The 20,444-nt window shown below is 48.8% G+C and overlaps 2 protein-coding genes across 15 annotated transcripts, besides 3 other annotated features; one reads left to right on the top strand and one right to left on the bottom strand.

Annotated features, from left to right (window-relative positions):
* Positions 1-312: 312 nt before the first annotated feature.
* TMEM176B (transmembrane protein 176B) lies at positions 313-10,372 on the bottom strand. 10 transcript variants are annotated; one of them, NM_001362691.2, is made up of 9 exons: positions 9,310-9,376; positions 8,623-8,630; positions 8,132-8,189; positions 5,378-5,586; positions 2,973-3,083; positions 2,556-2,612; positions 2,100-2,327; positions 1,068-1,187; positions 313-635 (listed from the first exon to the last, which is right to left on the bottom strand). In NM_001362691.2, exons 3-9 carry the CDS (start codon positions 8,172-8,174, stop codon positions 543-545), a joined length of 861 nt encoding a protein of 286 aa, NP_001349620.1. In that variant the 5' UTR covers positions 8,175-8,189; positions 8,623-8,630; positions 9,310-9,376; the 3' UTR covers positions 313-542. The 10 variants fall into 10 exon arrangements, with proteins under 10 accessions (NP_001349620.1, NP_001349621.1, NP_001094781.1 ...); NM_001362692.2 differs by lacking the exon at positions 8,623-8,630; NM_001101311.2 differs by lacking the exon at positions 8,132-8,189.
* Positions 8,373-9,072: an enhancer, noted in NCBI's record as "H3K27ac-H3K4me1 hESC enhancer chr7:150496449-150497148 (GRCh37/hg19 assembly coordinates)". NCBI's record gives its function as "activates a minimal SCP1, AML or CMV promoter by ChIP-STARR-seq in naive H9 embryonic stem cells {active_cell/tissue: H9 hESC(naive)}" and the evidence as "EXISTENCE:reporter gene assay evidence [ECO:0000049][PMID:30033119]".
* Positions 9,073-9,772: an enhancer, noted in NCBI's record as "H3K27ac-H3K4me1 hESC enhancer chr7:150497149-150497848 (GRCh37/hg19 assembly coordinates)". NCBI's record gives its function as "activates a minimal SCP1, AML or CMV promoter by ChIP-STARR-seq in naive H9 embryonic stem cells {active_cell/tissue: H9 hESC(naive)}" and the evidence as "EXISTENCE:reporter gene assay evidence [ECO:0000049][PMID:30033119]".
* Positions 9,773-10,472: an enhancer, noted in NCBI's record as "H3K27ac-H3K4me1 hESC enhancer chr7:150497849-150498548 (GRCh37/hg19 assembly coordinates)". NCBI's record gives its function as "activates a minimal SCP1, AML or CMV promoter by ChIP-STARR-seq in naive H9 embryonic stem cells {active_cell/tissue: H9 hESC(naive)}" and the evidence as "EXISTENCE:reporter gene assay evidence [ECO:0000049][PMID:30033119]".
* On the top strand, positions 9,781-14,130 carry TMEM176A (transmembrane protein 176A). 5 transcript variants are annotated; one of them, XM_011516376.4, is made up of 7 exons: positions 9,781-9,980; positions 10,548-10,736; positions 11,227-11,337; positions 12,412-12,468; positions 12,632-12,844; positions 13,374-13,484; positions 13,839-14,130. In XM_011516376.4, the coding sequence occupies exons 1-7, from the start codon at positions 9,945-9,947 to the stop codon at positions 13,878-13,880; spliced, it is 759 nt and encodes a 252-aa protein (XP_011514678.1). In that variant the 5' UTR covers positions 9,781-9,944; the 3' UTR covers positions 13,881-14,130. The 5 variants fall into 5 exon arrangements, with proteins under 5 accessions (XP_011514678.1, NP_060957.2, XP_011514680.1 ...); NM_018487.3 differs by having other exon boundaries at positions 9,781-9,840; XM_011516378.3 differs by lacking the exon at positions 13,374-13,484.
* The last annotated feature ends 6,314 nt before the right edge of the window (positions 14,131-20,444 follow it).

Raw genomic sequence — 20,444 nt, forward strand, 5'->3', positions numbered from 1 at the left:
ATCTCATTCCATGCTCCACACAGTTCTCTTAAGTCTACAGGCCGAGGTTGTAGGAGCCTAGACAATCTCAGCAGGTAAGAAGATTCTAGGCCCACTAGACTTACACTTTACACTGAATTGAAGAAAATCATAAAAAGGGGTTTTGCCACCTGGATGTACAGCAGAACATAATTAAATTTAATCTTCTTGGGACAGTGTTTTAATGGGATAAATCAGCTCCCATTTAACCTCATACATAGCGACACAAAGAAAGGCCTTTCATGGCGCACGAGGTGTATAAACAAAGGGAAACCATATCTTTCTGGGCAAAACTGCTTTTCTGGATTGTTTATTATGTTTAATCAGCATTGTGGAAAATGCAACAATATCTGTTCATGGACTTGAGAACCCCAGAGTGGGAACAGCAGGTGCGGATGTGGGGAGAAGAAAGGAGGAGGGTCTGGAGAGCGGCCATAGGGGAGGCAAGTGTGAGGAGCCAGGAGTGGGGGCCCTGGGCTGCCCTAGACAGGGACATGCGGGCACCCCGTGGGGTCTTTGGCAGCTCACAGGACAATGGCAGTGGAGGTCTGCTCCCTAGAGGGCGAAGGGGGCACTGAATTCTCCCCCAGTAGCCTCTTCTCTGATCCTTCCTCATTCTGGAAAAAAAAGAAAAAAGAAATCCTTAGGGGAAAAGGATGCAGGCAGAGTTAGTATCATAGAACTCAGAAAGCAGAAAGAGGAAAGGAGGAGGGAAAGGAAAAGGTGACAGGAAAAGCAGATCAGGCAAAAAAAAAACAAGGTGGCAGAGGAAGGGGAGTCAGACGAACACCTGGGACAGGGCAGAGGGGAGAGTGGGGAGATCAGAGCAGAGGAGGGCGCAGAGAGGCACAGGGCGGCGACAGTTGGCCCAGGACCATGGTGATGGCCACATTCCCCAGACAGCAAAGGGGAGAGCTGCATATGGAAAGAAGCTGAGGGGCACCAGGCCCAGCCTCAGGTTCGGGTGCCCCTGGCCCCGCACTCCTACCTGTCCCACACACTCACCACCCAGACTCACGCTGCCCAGAGGCCCCTCCCCGACAACTCACCAGGGGCTGGGAGCTCTGGCCACACAAGTTTCGAAGACCTACTCCCAAGGAAACCAAGGACACAATGACCTTCAAGACACAGACAGCCAGGAACAGGGCACGGATTGCTGTGAACAACTTCTGGAGATAAGGGAAGAACAAAGATAGTCAGGTGTCAGCTACTCCAATGCTGCCCACATCACCACCCTCTCCACCCACCCAGGCACTGACTCTATCCAGCTTGCTGCTCCCACCACAGCTGACTGTGTTTCCAGCCACAGCTTCCATCCCGTTGGCTTGTCTGCAGAGTGAACTTATCACTCCCTGTCAAGAAGTGGAGACTATTCCTTCAACCCGTAGAATCTGGAAGGGCCTAGAACTGCTTTGGCCACAGTGAAAGTGACACTATACAGTGACAGGGAAGCCCTTAGCTGGTCTGGCAGCTTCTACTTTCTGTCTCCTGAAATGCTTGCAACTAGGGTACTCCCCATTGGAATCCAGTTTCTGTGCTATGAGAAGCCCAAGCCAAGTGGAGAAGCCATTGCCGGCTCTTGCTGACAGCCCCCGCTGAGCTCCGGACCATGCAACTACATCATCTCAGACCTCCAGCCTCGGCGAGCACTTGGATAACTTCACCCCCATCTGACTGTAACTGCATGAGAAAACCCGTGAGTGAGAATGGCTCATCTGAATCCAGCCAACTCACAGCACCGTGAGAAATAATAAGTTGTCATTTTAAGCCACTACATTTTGGTGTGGTTTTTAATTCAGTAATGGAAAACTGTGATACCAACACACCAGAAAAGCCAGAAGGGTGACCCACTATCTCCTCTCTGAAATGTCTCCTCTTTGTTCCTCACCCTCCTTGATTCAGAGAATCTTCGTGTCATGAGGTCTGAAAAATGTCTGTAGCTTACATTAAAACCTCCTGAATGAAAGACCCAGCATGAAGTCCAAGCTCAAAGAGCCTACATCTCTGTCCTCCAGGGCCCCCAGCTCCCTGGGAAAAAAGAGCTGTGATGGGTCCCCGAAGACTGGACTCTTCCTGCTCACCCTCAGCATCTGCATGTAAGCTCTACACTCCTCCTTCTGCCATTGGTTCTCTTGACTTCGCCGCATCCATCTGTACCCAGTGGTAGGGAAGACAGGGTCTGAGCGATCACACACAGTGTCGATGTATAAAAAGGGTTCAGTTTGCCAGATGAAGCTATTCACGCAGAGGACAACAGCAGCCATAGCTGTAGCAAAGCCTGCCAGGGTGAGCAGGCTGGATATATAGCCCTGGAAGAGAAAGAGGGTCATGACACACGCTCCTTCAATCGGTGGAAGAGTCATGAGGTCCCCGCCTCAAATCCCTCTCCTCTTCCCCAGCCCTTGTCCAGGAAACCCTCTCCTCCCCTCCAAGAAAGACCCCAAGATATTGACAACCAAAGGGCAGAAGACAGATAATGGAGCAGAATTCAGGAGGGGGTCAGTGAACAAGGTGGAGAGAGGGTGTCCAAGACTCACAGCAAGTTTGCCCGGGTGCTTCTCATGGACAATGGCCCCAGCTCCTGCTGCGATCACCTGAAAAGAGACACCAGAAAAAGGCCTCCAGTTTACTCTTCTGAATTGGTCTATCATCACCCTCCCACCAGCAGTTCCCAGAATAGCCAATGTGAAGCAGGATCCCAGGGACAGACAAAGAACTCTGACACACAGACCAGGATTCCACCTATACCTGCCCCACCCCTCCCATCTGTCTTCAAGAGAAAAATGGAAGTGACAGGGTTTTAGCTACACCCCAGAGCAGCCTCCTCATGGCCAAAGGCCATTTGGCTCCAGAGACTTTGGTCGCTTCCCCAAAGCCCCAACCAAGATCCATAAGCGCCTTCTTGCCCATCACCACTTGCCTCCCTCCAGGCTCACAGCCTGTTCCTTACTCACCACAGACCCCGCCCAGAAGGCACAGCCTGAGGCACTCAGCACAGTCCAGGGCCCCAAGCTGAGACACACTCCAAGAACACAACTCACAACCCCCAGCAATATCTGAGTCACCTGCAAGACAGGATGAGAAACCAGACCCCTTCCCGTGAGTCCACATGCCCCGGCTGCCCTGGGACCAGCTGCCTGGCTCCTACCTAGGTGGCTCTCCTCTCCTTTTCCTCTGCCTTGACCTCTCTGCAGCTCTGATTCTGGAAGATTCTGTCCCCTTAAAATCCATGAAGCAGCACTGGCCTGGGTCTCCCCTCACCCTTCTCATAGGCTTGGCTATTTATCCTTCATCAATTTTTCCCAACTTCAACACTTTCTCATCCCACCTGAAGATTCCCACTTTTCCCCCCCCATTCTCCTTCAGAGGTCCCATTGTCCCATCCAAACCCCCAGCCTGACCTGAGCTTCTGGCCTATCCTTTCTCTTCAGATCCAAACACACACTCTTGAGGGCTCTGTGGCAGACACAAAGAAGTGCCGCTGAGACCTCCTTCAAGAAAGGGCTTGTTTGATTGCTGACAGCCTGCAGTTGTCAGCTCCTTCAGGGTCACCCTAATTTTTCAAGCTGAAGACACACACTGAGGAGGGCCCCCCAGCCAATGATTAAGCAAGACAGTGGCTCAAGGGCCATCTCCACCCAGTGTGGAACTCCTGCAGTGGGCAACCTTTGCCTGGGAGCTCCCCCACTGGCCTGGCAGAGTCTGCATTGCAGCCTGATGGTTCCTCCTGCTCAATCCTGCTCCCCCTCTTTTCATTTCATAGGTGTCATACCCCAATAAGCCGTTCACACACCCAACTCCGACTCAGAAGAGAACTCCTCTTCTTCCTGGAAAACCCAACTGTCACCACCTCCACATCCTACCAGCATCTCGGATTTGTCACATCCAAATCCCCTACTACCACACACACACACACACACACACACACACACACACACACACCTCTCGAATGGCTGCTCCTCCTGACTTTCAGGGCTCCGATCTCCTGGTCACCCACACTTCAACCCTCTCTGCATGCTGTGAATGCCTCTCTTTCCTTATGCCCCAAACCCCTTCACTCCCATGCCATGGAGGTCTGTGAAGGACAGGGACTCCTTTGTCTCCTCACCATTTCTGCTATGATTATGTGAGTGCAGATCCTCGATCCTTCTCACCTGGATGCCTCCTGACTCTGAGGCAGGTTCCTGCTCAGAATCCATTGACAGCGTTCTCACTGTCAAAGCTGATTCAGGACAGACTCCTCACCTGGTCGTTCAAGGCTCTCAGCAATATGGGCCCAAATCACCCATTCATGAAGCCCATTCCCTTTACTCTTAACCATTATAGAACTTGCCCTATGCCTTCTGGCCTCTTTGCCTTTGCTCCTGCCATTCTTTAACCTGGAATTCTTTTTTGTCCATCTTCCACCTCTGTCTATACCTATTCCTTCTCCATTCAGGGTTCTCCTGCCCTCAAGGATGTCAGATGTGCTTCTCCCTCACCTGATCTACCTTTAGTTCCAGTCATTAGTGTAGCTGCTGTTCCTTCTGATGGTCACTGAGTACTTTTAGATATAGCCCAGGGATTCTCTCTGTAGCTTGGCCTGAAGTGCTGAACACATTGCCTTGCACCTGTAGGCTTTCAGTCCATGTGGGGTCAATAAAACCGAATTAACAGCCTCTAGACTGTTCTTCCTGTTGCCCTACCTCTGGCTGGGACCGACTCCTCTGTGCCAAAGAGGAGGTCGATTCTTCCTTTCCATCCAAATTTCTGTGGGGACACTTACAACTTTTTCCTACACAGAATGAGATATAAATAGTGATTTCTCATGTCCCTCTCATGGGAATTCAACCCACTTTCCTCTTTTGCATCCTATTGAAGAAGGAGAGTTTCCACTGTGAAAGCTGAGCCTACAAATGGGGTCATTCTTGTCACACTCAACTAAAACAGAGTCGAGAGGCCAGGGGCAAAAAGCACTCGGGGCACAAAATGTTGCTCCCAAAATGTAATTCTCTACAAATCAGGCTGCTGAAGCTGCCTGCTGCAACCTGAAACCAGCTTTATCTACAGCTTCTGACCTTGCTACAACTCTAGGATTAGTTTTACTCATGCCATCGCTCACCCATCAGAGCTCACCAGCTCCCCAAAACCTATGATCTTTCATGAAGGGCAATATGTAACATTTCTCCTTTTTATAAGCCTCTAACCTTCTCTTTGTTCTAAAGACATACTGGAGACCACCTGGTCTGTGTGTATGCCCCAAATTGCAATTCTCTCCTCCCAAATAAAACGTTTTAATTTTGAAGATTTGGCTCTATATTTTAATTGACCTCATCACCTCGTTAACGTGCCCCCCAACCCCGCACCACCCCAGTCTTACCCCTAGAGCCAGCTGCTCATAACCAATCCTGGCTGTGGAAGGCACAGTGTCCCCAGGGTGAAAAAGAAACTTCTTCAGAGAACCTCCAGCTTTCAGCAGTTGTGTCAAAGCTGACTCCTGGTGGATGTGGACGTTGACGTGGGTGGGCTGGGATGGCCTAGAGGCCATAGCAACTCCATTCACAATCACCGTGTTTTGCGTCATCCTGCCTGCCAGGGAGAAGACATATAGCAGTGAGGTCTGGGAACTAGGCGAGGGAAAAATACACAGCACAGGTGAAAGGAGAGAAATAGTGTCTTTGTCAAGATCCCAGCTGGGCACAATAGCTCACGCCTGTAATCCCAGTGCTTTGGGAGGCTGAGGTGGGTGGATTACCTGAGGTCAGGAGTTCAAGACCAGCCTGGCCAATGTGGCAAAACTCCCTCTCTACTAAAAATACAAAAATCCGCACGGTGGTGTGCACCTGTAGTCCCAGCTACTCAGGAGGCTGAGGCAGGAGAATCACTTCAACCTGGGAGGCTGAGGTTGCAGTGAGCTCAGATCTTGCCACTGCACTCCAGCCTGGGCAACAGAGTGAGACTCCATCTCAAAAAAAACAAAAACAAACAAACAAACAAACAAAAAACAGTGTCTTTGTCAAAATTCAAAGGGGCTTCCCAGTGCAGATATCAATGGCACTGGAAATCAATAGTGATTTTACACATAAAAAAGTTAAGAGATACAAAAGGGTATATATACCTTTAAAACCTTATCGCTCATCTTTTTCCCTCAACCACCTATTTGCCTTGCAGATGCAAAGTAATATTATCAGTCTCTTATAAATCCTACCATGACATTTTTGCATACAAAAGTGTGAAAAAGTATTTCTGCCCCCTTTTCCCACAAATAGCAGCATACTATACACACTGATTTGCATGATGCTGTGATCACACGATCATATGTTTTTAGAATAATCCTACATGAGTCCATAAAAAGTGTCAACCTAAATAACAGAGAGAGGCTCTCCAAAAGAAAATGAGATTGATTCTGGAATAGGGCATTGCAATGAGAATATGCTTACCATAGTAAATCATGTGCACGTTCAGGGAGGTAAAGGAAGACAAAGGTTTTTAAAGGAAAAATGGGGAGACTTACATAATCTCTTTGAGGTGATCATCCTTGGCTACAAGGATCAATAACAAGGGTGACACAAGTCCAGGGTTAGACAGGCAGTTGCTGGTGGATGTCCTCACAGAAGTATTTTTTTGTGTAAGGTTGTCATTTTACAGAGTCCTTTGTGATGACTTTTGTTCCCAGGTTATTTACGCATGAGAACCCTGCCTTGTGGGCCTTCCATTTTCAGATTTTTTTTTTAACTCAAGTGACTCGATTATGATTCTGACAACTTTCACAAAAGCTTCTTCACTCATTTGTGTAACTGCATATATTTTGAGAGTATGAATTCCTCATAATTTATTTAAGTGGTTCCCTATTGGCAGACATTTAGGTTATTTCTAATCCTTTTCCATTACAGACAATGTGGAATTGGCAGGGCACCAGGAATGCGCATTTGCAATTTTAGTAGATATTGTCAGTTATCCTCCACGGAGGTGGTAGCAATTCACATGCAGGAGGCAAACTCTTTTATCTTTTTCCTTTTATATGGGGAAAAATGCATTGATTTTAATCAATTTTATGTAATAAAAATGTCCCATTTTAAATGTATATCTCAACGAGTTTTGACAAATTTACACATTTGTGCAATTACAGCTACAATCAAGATAAAGGACATTCCTACACAGCAATACATTCCCTAAAGCCCCTCCCCAGAAAATACCCCCAACCACTGGCCATGAGCAACCACTGACCTGCTTTCTGTAATGATTTCCATATATTTTTAATCCATGGTTTTCTTTTATTTCATTTTTTTATTATGTATTTATTTATTTATTCATTTTTTGAGATGGAGTCTCGCTCTGTCGCCCAGGCTAGGGTGGCGCGATCTCGGCTCACTGCCAGCTCCACCTCCCGGGTTCACGCCATTCTCCTGCCTCAGCCTCCCGAGTAACTACAGGCGCCCGCCATCAAGCCCAGCTAATTTTTTGTATTTTTAGTAGAGACGGGGTTTCACCGTGTTAGCCAGGATGGTCTCGATCTCCTGACCTCATGATCCGCCCGCCTCGGCCTCCCAAAGTGCTGAGATTACAGGCGTGAGCCACCGCGCCCGGCCAGTTCTCTTTTTTTAGAGAGAGAGATGGGGTGTTGCTTTGTTGCCCAGGGTGGTCTCAAACTCCTGGACTCAAGCAATCCTCCCACCTCAGCCTCCCAAAGTGCTGCAATTACAGGTGTGAGCCACCACGCCTGGCCCATAGTTCTCTTATTATGAGTGAGGTTGGTTGTCTTTTCATATGTTCAGGGCCATTTTTATTTCTTCTTTTGTGAGCTCTCCGTTCACATCCTATGTCCTTGTTTCGTTTTGTTTTGTTTTGCTTTTTTCTATGGAAGTTCTTTATCTATTCACAAAATTACCGTTTGTGATATGAGTTTCAAATGTTTCTTTACAATTTGAAGTTTATTTTTTGACCTTGCTTGTATATTCATACAATCCATGTTCTATTTCATTCTATTTATGGTGTCTAGCTCTTACACTTTTAAAGGACTTCCCCGTTTCGAGATTATAAAATAATCTTCCACATTTTCTTCTAAGTGCCTTTATGCTTTCAGTTTTCACTTTTAAATGCCGACCATCTGGAATTTGGGAGCTGGGTGACCAACCTTCGCCGTTGGGAGACACGGATCCAAGTTCTGTTGCTGTCATTCAGATGTTTAACTTCTGAAAGATACGTTCCATTTGCGGAAAATACATCCTCTTTTTCTCAGTGATTTAAAATTCTCTCCTGAGCAGAAATGAAGTTCCCCTAGGAATGTAGGCCTATTCTAGTCCTTATATTCTGCCCATTGGCATGTCTCATGGGCTAGGCATCATTACCACAATTTTAACATGGAGCTTAATGCTAATTGGGCTGTTTCATGATCCCCTCGTGTGGTTTTTCTTTCAGAATTGTCATGGCCATTTTTGCTAGACTACTTCTTCACATGCACTTTAGAATCAGCTTGCCTGGCTCTAAAATAAATCCTGCATAGGCAATTCTAATGGACATCCTGGCTAAGTATCACAGTTTAAATCAAATATTATTAACAATTCTAATAACACCTCCCATTCGTACTCTACCTACTTTTCAAAGCAGTTTCACTCTTTCACCCACCTGGCCTCCTTGGGGTTAGAAAGGACAGGAGTTAGACAATTCCGCACACGTACAAAGGAGCTTCAGACTGCTTCCAGCCCAGCCCCAGATTCCAGCCAGACCTTCCCTTGACGGCCCAGGCCTCGCCCTGAGGGCACCTCGGGTTCCAGCTACCTCCGGGCCCCCAGGACCACCGCTTCCCCCGCCCCACGCCAACCCCTAGATCTGCCTCGCCCCCGCCTGAAGAGTCGGATCTGAACCAGGCCGGCACCACGGAGATTCCCCTGCGGGCCGCCCGACGCCTGGTAGGTGGTGGGCTCTTCCCGGCTGCCCCGAACACTTTCCTCTGTCCAGCTCTTCCCGTGCCCCGGGGCTGGGGAAAGCGTCCGGCAGCCCCGCCGCTCCCTGGCCCCGTCCCAGGAGCCACCCCACCGTAGGGCTCCAGCCAGGGTCCAGGCGTGCAGGCGGCAGAAGGTGGACGGGACGCGCCAGCCCCAGGCCTCTCCTCCCGCTCTCCAGCCGTTTTTCTGGGGAGAAACACCTGCACCCAGCTGTCCCTCCCTCCTACGTGAGTCCTCCTGGAAACCAGGTTGGAGGAAGAAAGACGTCCTGTGGACAGGACGGGGTGGGGGCATGGCCCTGGGGACTCCTCGTGACAGAGGGTCCTGCGGCAAGAGGGTCTCCCGGGCCGCGGAGGCCCTGCCTCACCTGCAGTCCTCCGGGAGCCCGCGGCCGAGCAGAGCGGACACTAGCTGACCCCGAGCAGGGGAGCGACGGGAGGGCGGAGACGGCAGATGCACGGGTGGGGGCTGCGGCCCCGCCCAGGCTGCGCGGTTTCCCGAAACCAGCTGCGGCCCGGGGGCCCGGCAAAGGGGGTTCCGCCCGGAGGAGCGGACCGGGCGGGAGAAGACCGAGCCCCCGCGCGCCCCCTGCGCTCCCACTCGCGCACACTTGCACGCCGGCCCTGGCCGGGCGGGGCTGGAGGCGAGAACGACCCCACGGGCTTTCCCAGGGCCGTCCGCCCGCGGACCCTCCCAGCTCCCCAGAGCCCAGTGACCCTCGCGCAGCAGGAGAACCCCAGACGGACCCCAGGCCCTGCAGCCTGTCATGAACCCGAGGGGCTGAAGTTCAGCCCCACCCCCGCCTCCCCTCCCCGCCTCCCCCTCCAACTCTCAACCCACTTCTCCAGCCAGCGCCCCAGCCCTCCCGCCGCCCGCTCGCAGGTCCCGAGGAGCGCAGGTGAGGCGGCACCCCACTCCCGGCGGCCCCCGGGCCTCCTTCCGCACGCACCCCGAGCTGCCTCCGCACAGTTGGAGGAGCGTAGGAGGGACCCCCACCCAGGGATGACACTCCAGGAAGGGGACTGCAGAGGAAGCCAGGTGCGGCCCCGGCTTTTGACCTACCTCCGCACCGCAGCGCGGTCCTTCACGGGGCAGGGGCGGCGTGAACCCGTCGGGCGTGAGCAGCAGTCGGTGGAGCGGGAGGTCGGCGGTGGCGGGGATGGGGGTATCCGGAGCGCAGCCGGGGCGCAGCTGCTGGCACAGGAGCTCCACAGGCAGCCAAGGACTCGGTCCTGTCCCAGAGCCTGCGGACTGTGGAGGGGAGGCCGCAGGAAGAGCCCGGGAGGAGGGGGTGAGGGGTCGAGGTGTGGGGCGCTGCTTGACCCAGACGCCAGGGCCCTGGGAGGAGGATGAGGGGGACAGAGCAGATCTTGGGCGAAAGGGGAGGTTCCCGCAGGCTCTGTAGTCGCCGCAGTTCCAGCATGGTCAGCACCCCCTCTGCTACACACATTCCCCTCGTGAGGGGCCAGGGGTGCGGCCCTGTGACCAGGACAGCCATTCATTGGGTGACTTTGAGCCACCACTGGCCCCTGACCTCCCCAACTCCAATGAAATCTGCGAAAATCTTCTGACAGCCGTTCCTCTCTGGTGCTCCCTTCCTCATAGACTGTGTCCCTGACAATGGGAACAGCCGACAGTGATGAGATGGCCCCGGAGGCCCCACAGCACACCCACATCGATGTGCACATCCACCAGGAGTCTGCCCTGGCCAAGCTCCTGCTCACCTGCTGCTCTGCGCTGCGGCCCCGGGCCACCCAGGCCAGGGGCAGCAGCCGGCTGCTGGTGGCCTCGTGGGTGAGTGTGACGGCCTGCCTCGTCGGGCGGCGGGAGGAACTCCCCACCTCCAGCCGCAGCAGCACTCTCTGCCAGCCTCCCTCTGAACAGGACACCGAGCCAGTTATGTCTTCTTACTTAGCGATGTGATTCTCTGGCCTTCTCAGTAAGAGCCTGGGGAGGGGAGGCTCTGGGCTGAAGGGGTGTGGAGGAGCCACTGACCATGCAGAGTCCCAATCAGTGGAGCCCTGAGTCCATCCTTTCCTCTGGGCCAAACTCAGGATGGGCCGGCTCTCCTCTCCTTCCTTTCCCTTCTCTTTTCTCCTCCTCCTGCCTCTTCTTCTTTCTCCTTCTCCTCCTCTTTCTTCTCCTTTTCTCTTCTCTTCTCTTCTCTTCTCTTCTTTCTTTCTCTCTCTCTCTACCTCTCCCTCTCTTTTTGGGGTTTTAGCGGTTAATCCCTGCAGTGGCAGGTCCACCTAGGAGCCGGGATCTTGGGTCCTTTGTCTTTCAGGTGATGCAGATCGTGCTGGGGATCTTGAGTGCAGTCCTAGGAGGATTTTTCTACATCCGCGACTACACCCTCCTCGTCACCTCGGGAGCTGCCATCTGGACAGGGGCTGTGGTGAGTAGAGCAGGACAGTGCTTGACTGCCTGTGAGAGGGGTGGGGCATTGCTCTCCTGATTGCCTTCCTCCAACATGGCGCCACAGAATGCTGGCAGTCGGAGAGATCTGATTATCTAGGACCATTCCCTGCCTGTTCAGATGAGCAAACAGCTGAGGGCGGTGGTGGCATGTCCTATTCACACTGTCTGCTCTCCCATACCCTTCCCAGTGCTGTTCCCACCAGGCTGGCTGCCTCTCCCTGCCTTCAACAGTTAATGTCAACTAAGGATCTAAGGACCTGCTCATCTCCAGATACTTGCATTGAGATGGGGAAGGCAGAGCGTTCCAGATAGTATGTGGTCCCCCAGGAAGCATCACCCCCTGGTTATTCTCATTGTCCTCCACAGGCCCTGTACACAATGGAAACCCAGGAATTGTTGTCAACAGATGGGTGTGTGCAGTTTGCACAGGAGCTGGGTAGGCTGGTCATGGTACCTACACTCTCAGAATAGCACTAAAACACTCATATTTACTGACAGAAGCCGAGAGTAATTACCTTCACCCAGCCTGTGGCAAAATACCCAGCTTAATTACAGAATTAGCCAAACAGGATTCAGGTCCACCTGTCCACTGGGACATACTAGATTTCCTGTTCTTCAAGCCCAGCTGAGTGGATTATTGGGCACTGTTAGGACAGGCTTCTAGACCTAACAGTGCCCACTCTGTATAGACTCACCCTTCATTGAGATCTTCTCCAGCACCCCATGACTTTTATCCACAGGATCCCACCATCCCTAGAACTTTCATAAAGCACTTGGTGTTGTTTAAAAAGGAAGGTTTAGAAGGGAAGAGGGGCTCACACCTGGCTTGACCACAAGCTCTTAGGTGTCACTAAAGCAGGGCCTTTTGCAGCCTCAGGAGTTGGATCCAGGCTCCACCCTCTCAGCAATTATCTTACCATGGATAATAAAGCTTAGCATGAAACCTCCCGCCCAAGCTGTGTGCTGGGGAAGGGCCTGCATGGAGGCTCTCTCGTGGGAGAGGAGTTGCATTTCCTGTACTAAGCCTGCTCCTGGCTCAATCTCTCCCCAGGCTGTGCTGGCTGGAGCTGCTGCCTTCATTTACGAGAAACGGGGTGGTACATACTGGGTAAGTTCAGGGAAGGGCATGGGAGGGGACCAGGTTCAGGCTGGAGGTCACCCCAATCTCCTGCCCTGTTGCAGGCTTCTCTGGGCCTTGCCCTTTTTTCCCCCGACTGGACTCTGAGAGAGACTGAAACACAAAGATTTCTCTCTGCCTCCTCCCTCCCCAGGCCCTGCTGAGGACTCTGCTAACGCTGGCAGCTTTCTCCACAGCCATCGCTGCCCTCAAACTTTGGAATGAAGATTTCCGATATGGCTACTCTTATTACAACAGTGCCTGCCGCATCTCCAGCTCGAGTGACTGGAACACTCCAGCCCCCACTCAGAGTCCAGAAGAAGTCAGAAGGCTACACCTATGTACCTCCTTCATGGACATGCTGAAGGTAGGTGGCCAAGGGGAAGGGGCAGCAGCAGGTGGGGCAGGGATGGCCAGGCCAGGCCAGGGGCAAGAGTCAGGTTCTCCACCAGAAATAGGTGTTACCTATTCTGCACCAAGCTTGCGTATTGTCACCAAAGACAAAGCATCAGACAAAATAGAAATGGCTCCTGTAGGGTGTTACAGACAAGTGGGAAATACAAGCATTAAAATAATAATAAATGAACCACTATAGCAAGTGTGCCAAGTGCTGCAAAGGTGTTAAATGCATGTTTTCCCTTGATCCTCTGAAGTCTTGGAGGTTATCAGGGAATCAAATCATAGCCCAAACCTGTCACTGTACAAATGAGGACACAGGCCCAATGTGAGCAGTTTCCAGCTGTATTCTGTACATTGAATGCATTGACTTCCCCTCCAGAAGCCACGAACTTGGAGATAAAGGGGTAGAGATTTTCCCAGGTCAATAAGGAGCATGGGGACAGAGCAGGAAGGCAGCTGTCATCCTGGTGCTTATGGCCTTGGCCCTCTGTCCCCAGGCCTTGTTCAGAACCCTTCAGGCCATGCTCTTGGGTGTCTGGATTCTGCTGCTTCTGGCATCTCTGACCCCTCTGTGGCTGTACTGCTGGAGAATGTTCCCAACCAAAGGGGTGAGTCCCTAAGGTGTGTGCCTGTGTATTTGGGGCAGTGGAACTGCTCAAAGGAGACAGGAATGGACAGTGGACAGTTTGGGGAGGAGAAAGGGGCCCATGACCCAAGTCCCACCTATTATCATGCCTGTCTTTCTACCCAGTGGTGGCCCAGCCCAGAAAGCCCCTATCCCCAACCAAGTGGCCCCCAAGTCAAAGAGCCCAGGAATCCAGGGAAGTCCATATCCATGCTATGCCTTTGGATCAGGTACCATGCTGCTGATTCTGGTAGCTCCAGAGCTAAGCTGCCCCTGGAGGAGAGACTCCGCCCTTTCTCTCCCACTCACGATTGTCTTGCCTTTCCTCTTCCATTAGAAAAGAGACCAGAAGGAAATGTTGGAAGTGAGTGGAATCTAGCCATGCCTCTCCTGATTATTAGTGCCTGGTGCTTCTGCACCGGGCGTCCCTGCATCTGACTGCTGGAAGAAGAACCAGACTGAGGAAAAGAGGCTCTTCAACAGCCCCAGTTATCCTGGCCCCATGACCGTGGCCACAGCCCTGCTCCAGCAGCACTTGCCCATTCCTTACACCCCTTCCCCATCCTGCTCCGCTTCATGTCCCCTCCTGAGTAGTCATGTGATAATAAACTCTCATGTTATTGTTCCCAGGTTCTCGCTTAGTTATTCCAGGGAATTTCTCTTGGCTGGAGGAGGAAGTGGAGAAGGAGCCAATGGCAAACCTCCCACAGCTCCCCAACCTCCTGCCTCAGGCTAGAGTTGCTGGCCCTGGAGCTAGAACCTCTTTGAGGCTGATCCTGTGGCTATAGGTTCAAAAGCCTAGGAATAAAGGATGAACGGGGCTGAGACTCTGAGCCCACTCCCTACCACTCACATTTAAGAAGGTGAATGCTTGGCAATTTAAGAATTAGATTTTTTTTTATTGTGACTGTTTGAAAAAATTAAGTAGACAACATAACACCGATAGGACATCCAACAACATAGAAAGGACATCCAACAACATGGCAAAATAGAAACCCTTACAAATTGCCCCATAAAAAATCCTAAAACTCCTTGATAAAATATGAATCATGTATTTTTAAATTCATGACTATGAACCAAGAAAAAGATGGAGGCCATCAAAGCCTATAGTAGAAGTAGGGGCAAGAATTCAGAGAGTAGAAGCCAGTATCTGCCTGTGTCAGTCCCACAACCACCCACATACTCAGTGTTCCACTTGAAGGACCCACAGGGCTCAGCATGTAGTTGTGTTCATGGCTAAGTTATATTATAGTAAAAGGATACACAAGGTGGGGAAAGAACACATTAGGCGGACTCTGGAAGAATCCGGCACAGGCTTCCTATATCTTCCCACGGTGAGAGGCCACACAGTAACACAGCAGTGTTTCTGCCCAGGGAAACCCACCTAAGACTCAAAGACCAGGGTTTTTATTGAGAGCTGGCCACATAGGCACTCCCTCCACCTGCACAGCTACTGCAATTCCAGACTCCCAGAGGAAAAGCAGGTGTCCACCTGAAATCATATTGTACAGTCTAGGCAAGCTGATAGACTGGAATTTAGTAGGCAGGCATACAAAACCACCTTATCAGCCAAGGAACATTCCAGAAGCCCAATTCCTAGAAGACAGCCAAGGGTAGCAAAACCTTGTAAAGGGTGACCCTCTGTGTTAACTCTTTCTTGCACACTGCCCTAAGGGCATCTGCCAACCTCTTGCAACCCAAAACTGCACTTAATAACTATGTGAAAGACAGTAAATGAAGCCTAGAGCCACTTAAGCTGGAGAGTTACAGTGAAGGACCCAGTATAAATCTTCACTTTCAGAGGACATTTGGGAAAAAATCCACTCCTTTGAGGGAGATGACAAGTAAACTCTTGGTGAAAGGAGTCAGATGAAGATTCGTGAATACAAGCCGGCCCTAACATGGACTTATGGATGGAATTCCCACTCCTTGGATAAACCCCCAAACCCTGAGAAAATAATTTAAAGGTTCTCAAGATGGTAGTGACCCCTGACACCTGTCAGAAACAAATGCAAATTCTGCTGGAGAAATTTACCTTCAACTAAACCCTTAAATGATCAGCATGACTATATTTTTTAAAGTGAGACAAATAAATAGAAAGCAAAAAAAAGATGATGATTATAAATTAAGTTTATGAGTAACTGCAATAAATATAAATGGATAAAATAGTCCATTTGAACCAGATAGACAGACTGTATTTTTATAAAACTCATCCATATGCTAGTTACACAAAACACAACTAAAGCAAAGATACAGAAAGATAGTAAAAGGATGGGGAAAAAAGATATAACAACCAAATTAGTATGGCTGTATTCAAGAGCATTGCCAGAGACAAAGAGGCCGCTCACGGTCAATCCAATCGTCATTCTCTCTTCCTTACTAATAGAAATCCAGTTTTGTTTTGTTTTTAAGTTGCTACTACCAGCCTTCCTTGCAACTGAGGATTGCAGTGACCCACACTCTCAGCCAATGAGAAGTCAAGAGAATTCACTGGGAACAGAAAGAATTGGTTGGTTTCCCTACTTTCTGCTCCCTGCTTCCTCCCCTTCTCCCAGGAATCAGGACCCCATACCTGGCACTGGAGGAGCCATCTTGTGGCTAAGCGGGTAATAGTCAGAGGTTGGAAATGATACAAAAGACTAAGGAGGCTGGACCCTCAACAACATTAATTGAATATGCCCAACGAATCCTGGATACTTACCTTTGAACAGCTCTATATGACAAAAATAAATGCCTTGCTGGCTTTTTTTAAGGAAAAAAAAAAATTTTTAATTTACAGTAGCAACAAAACTATAAGATACTTAGAAATAAATCTAGACACTCAAGACTGGTAAAGAAAATCATAAAACTTTATTGAAAAACATTAATGAATACCTAAATTAAATAAAAAAGACATATACTATGTCCACAGGTGAGAGGACTCCATTTTGTAAAGATGGCATCTCCCTCCAAATTGATGCATAAATTCAGTGCAATCCAAATCAAAATCTCACCAGAGTTTTCTTAGTATGTGATTGGCCAATTCTCAACTTCATACAAAAGATCAAAAAATCAAGAATGTTGGTGTGTTCCAAGATAGCCAAATAGGAACAGCTCCGGTCTGCAGTTCCCAATGTGATCATTGCAGAAGATGGGTGATTTCTGCATTTCCAACTGAGGTACCTGCCTCATGTCATTGGGACTGGTTGGACAGTGGGTGCAGCCCACAGAGGGTGAGCCGAAGCAGGGCAGGGCATTGCCTCACCAGGGAAGCGCAAGGGGTTGGGGGATTTTCCTTTCCTAGCCAAGGGAAGCCATGACAGACTATACCTGGAAAAATGGGACATTCCCGCCTAAATACTGTGCTTTTCCAACAGTCTTAGCAAACAGCACAGCAGGAGATTATATCCCATGACTGGCTTGGAGGGTCCCACGCCCACAGAGCCTTGCTCACTGCTAGCACAGCAGTCTGAGATCAACCTGCGAGGCAGCAGCCTGGCAGGGGGAGGGACGTCCGCCATTGCTGAGGCTTGAGTAGGTAAACAAAGCAGCTGGGGAAGCTTGAACTGGGCAGAGTCCACCGCAGCTCAGCAAGGCCTGCTTTCTCTGTTGACTCCACCTCTGGGGGCAGGGCATAGCTGAACAAAAGGCAGCAGAAACTTCTGTAGACTTAAACCTCCCTGTCTGACAGCTGTGAAGAGAGCAGTGGTTCTCCCAGCACAGCGTTTGAGCTCTGAGAACTGACAGACTGCTTCCTCAAGTGGGTCCCTGAGCCCTGTGTGGCTTAACTGGGAGACACCTCCCAGTAGGGGCCGACTGACACCTCGTACAGGCAGGTGCCCCTCTGGGACAAAGCTACCGGAGGAAGGATCAGGCAGCAATATTTGCTGTTCTGCAATATTTCCTGTTCTGCAGCCTCCGCTGGTGATACCTAGGCAAACAAGGTCTGGAGTGGACCTCCAGCAAACTCCAACAGACCTGCAGCTGAGGGACCTGACTGTTAGAAGGAAAACTAACAAACAGAAAGGAATAGCATCAACATCAAGAAAAAGGACATCCACACCAGAACCCCATCTGTAGGTCACCAACATCAAAGACCAAAGGTAGATAAAACCACAAAAATGGAGAGAAACCTGAAAAGCTGAAAATTCTAAATAACAGAGCGCCTCTTCTCCTCCAAAGGATCGCAGCTCCTTGCCAGCAATGGAACAAAGCTGGATAGAGAATGACTTTGATGAGATGACAGATAGGCTTCAGAAGGTCAGTAATAACAAACTTCTCTGAGCTAAAGGAGGATGTTCGAATTCATCGCAAGGAAGCTAAAAACCTTGAAAAAAGATTAGACAAATGGCTAACTAGAATAAACAGTGTAGAGAAGAGCTTAAATGACATAATGGAGCTGAAAACCATGGCACGAGAACTACGTGAAGCATGCACAAGCTTCAGTAGCCGATTTGATCAAGTGGAAGAAAGGGTATCAGTGATTGAAGATCAAATTAATGAAATAAAGTGAGAAGAAAAGTTTAGAGGGAAAAGAGTAAAAGGAAACAAACAAAGCCTCCAAGAAATATGGGACTATGTGAAAAGACCAAATCTACATTTGATTGGCGTACCTGAAAGTGACAGGGAGAATGGAACCACACTGGAAAACACTCTTCAGGATATCATCTAGGAGAACTTCCCCAACCTAGCAAAGCAGGCCAACATTCAAATTCAGGAAATACAGAGAACACCACAAAGATAATCCTTGGGAAGAGCAACCCCAAGAAACATAATTGTCAGATTCACCAAGGTTGAAATGAAGGAAAAAATGTTGAGGGCAGCCAAAGAGAAAGGTCAGGTTACCCACAAAGGGAAGCCCATCAGACTAACAGTGGATCTCTCGGCAGAAACTCTACAGGCCAGAAGAGAGTGGGGGACTATATTCAACATTCTTAAAGAAAAGAATTTTCAACCCAGAATTTCATATCTTGCCAAACTAAGCTTTATCAGTCAAGGAGAAATAAAATCCTTTACAGAAAAGCAAATGCTGAGAGATTTTGTCACCACCAGGCCTGCCTTACAAGAGCTCCTGAAGAAAGCACGAAACACGGAAAGGAACAACCAGTACCAGCCACTGCAAAAACATGCCAAATTGTAAAGACCATTGATGCTATGAAGAAACTGCATCAACTAACTGGCAAAATAACCAGATAACATCATAATGTCAGGATCAAATTCATACATAACAATATTAACCTTAAATGTAAATGAGCTTAATGCCCCAATTAAAAGACACAGACTGGCAAATTGGATAAAGAGTCAAGACCCATCAGTGTGCTATATTCAGGAGACCCATCTCACATACAGAGACACACATAGGCTCAAAATAAAGAGATGAAGGAAGATCTACCAAGCAAAGGGAAAGAAAAAAAAAAAAAAGCAGAGGTTGCAATCCTAATCTCTGACAAAACAGACTTTAAACCAACAAAGATCAAAAGAGACAAAGAAGGCCATTACATAACGGTAAAGGGAGCAACTCAACAAGAAGAGCTAACTATCCTAAATATATATGCACCCGATACAGGAGCACCCAGATTCATAAAGCAAGTCCTTAGAGACCTACAAAGAGACTTAGACGCCTACACAATAATAATGGGAGACTTTAACACCCTACTGTCAATATTAGACAGATCAACAAGACAGAAGGTTAACAAGGATATCCAGGACTTGAACTCAGCTCTGCACCAAGCAGACCTAATAGACATCTACAGAACCCTCCACCCCAAATCAACAGAATATACATTCTTCTCAGCACCACATCGCACTTATTCCGAAATTGACCACATAGTTGGAAGTAAAGCACTCCTCACCAAATGTAAAAGAACAGAAATCACAGCAAACTGTCTCTCAGACCACAGTGCAATCAAATTAGAACTCAGGATTAAGAAACTCCCTCAAAACCACACAACTACATGGAAACTGAACAACCTGCTCCTGAATGACTACTGGGTAAATAACAAAATGAAGGCAGAAATAAAGATGTTCTTTGAAACCAATGAGAACAAAGACACAATGTACCAGCATCTCTGGGACACATTTAAAGCAGTGTGTAGAGGTAAATTTATAACACTAAATGCCCACAAGAGAAAGCAAGAAAGATCTAAAATTGACACCCTAACATCACAATTAAAAGAACCAGAGAAGCAAGAGCAAACGAATTCAAAAGCTGGCAGAAGGCAAGAAATAACTAAGATCAGAGCAGAACAGAAGGAGATATAGACACAAAAAATACCCTTCAAAAAATCAATGAATCCAGAAGCTGGTTTTTTGAAAAGATCAACAAAATTGATAGACCGCTAGTAAGACTAATAAAGAAGAAAAGAGAGAAGAATCAAATAGACGCAATAAAAAATGATAAAGGGGATATCACCACTGATCCCACAGAAATACAAACTACCATCAGAGAATACTATAAATACCTCTATGCAAATAAACTAGAAAATCTAGAAGAAACGGATAAATTCCTGGACACATACGCTGTCCCAAGATTAAACCAGGAAGAAGTTGAATCTCTGAATAGACCAATAACAGGCTCTGAAATTGAGGCAATAATCAATAGCCTACCCACCAAAAACAGTCCACAACCAGACAGATTCACAGCCGAATTCTACCAGAGGTACAAAGAGGAGCTGGTACCATTTCTTCTGAAACTATTCCAATCAATAGAAAAAGAGGGAATCCTCCCTAACTCATGTTACGAGGCCAGCATCACTCTGATACCAAAGCCTGACAGAGACACAACAAACAAAGAGAATTTTAGACCAATATCCTTGATAAACATTGATGCAAAAATCCTCAATAAAATACTGGCAAACTGAATCCAGCAGCACATCACAAAGCTTATCCACCACAATCAAGTCAGCTTCATCCCTGGGATGCAAGGCTGGTTCAACATATGCAAATCAATAAACATAATCCATCA

Source organism: Homo sapiens, chromosome 7 (genome assembly GCF_000001405.40).
Source record: "Homo sapiens chromosome 7, GRCh38.p14 Primary Assembly".
NCBI classification, from domain to species: Eukaryota; Metazoa; Chordata; class Mammalia; order Primates; family Hominidae; genus Homo; species Homo sapiens.

Coding starts and splice junctions, on each gene's coding strand:
- TMEM176A (XM_011516376.4), top strand. CDS start 9,945: ATGACACTCCAGGAAGGGGACTGCAGAGGAAGCCAG. Junction 11,338..12,411: donor CCATCTGGACAGGGGCTGTG/GTGAGTAGAGCA, acceptor ATCTCTCCCCAG/GCTGTGCTGGCTGGAGCTGC. Junction 13,485..13,838: donor GAATGTTCCCAACCAAAGGG/GTGAGTCCCTAA, acceptor CTCTTCCATTAG/AAAAGAGACCAGAAGGAAAT.
- TMEM176B (XM_047420258.1), bottom strand. CDS start 9,236: ATGCCCCCACCCCGTCCTGTCCACAGGACGTCTTTCTTCCTCCAACCT. Junction 2,613..2,972: donor CCTTCTGGGCGGGGTCTGTG/GTGAGTAAGGAA, acceptor GTCTCTTTTCAG/GTGATCGCAGCAGGAGCTGG. Junction 636..1,067: donor GCCAGAGCTCCCAGCCCCTG/GTGAGTTGTCGG, acceptor TTTTTTTTCCAG/AATGAGGAAGGATCAGAGAA.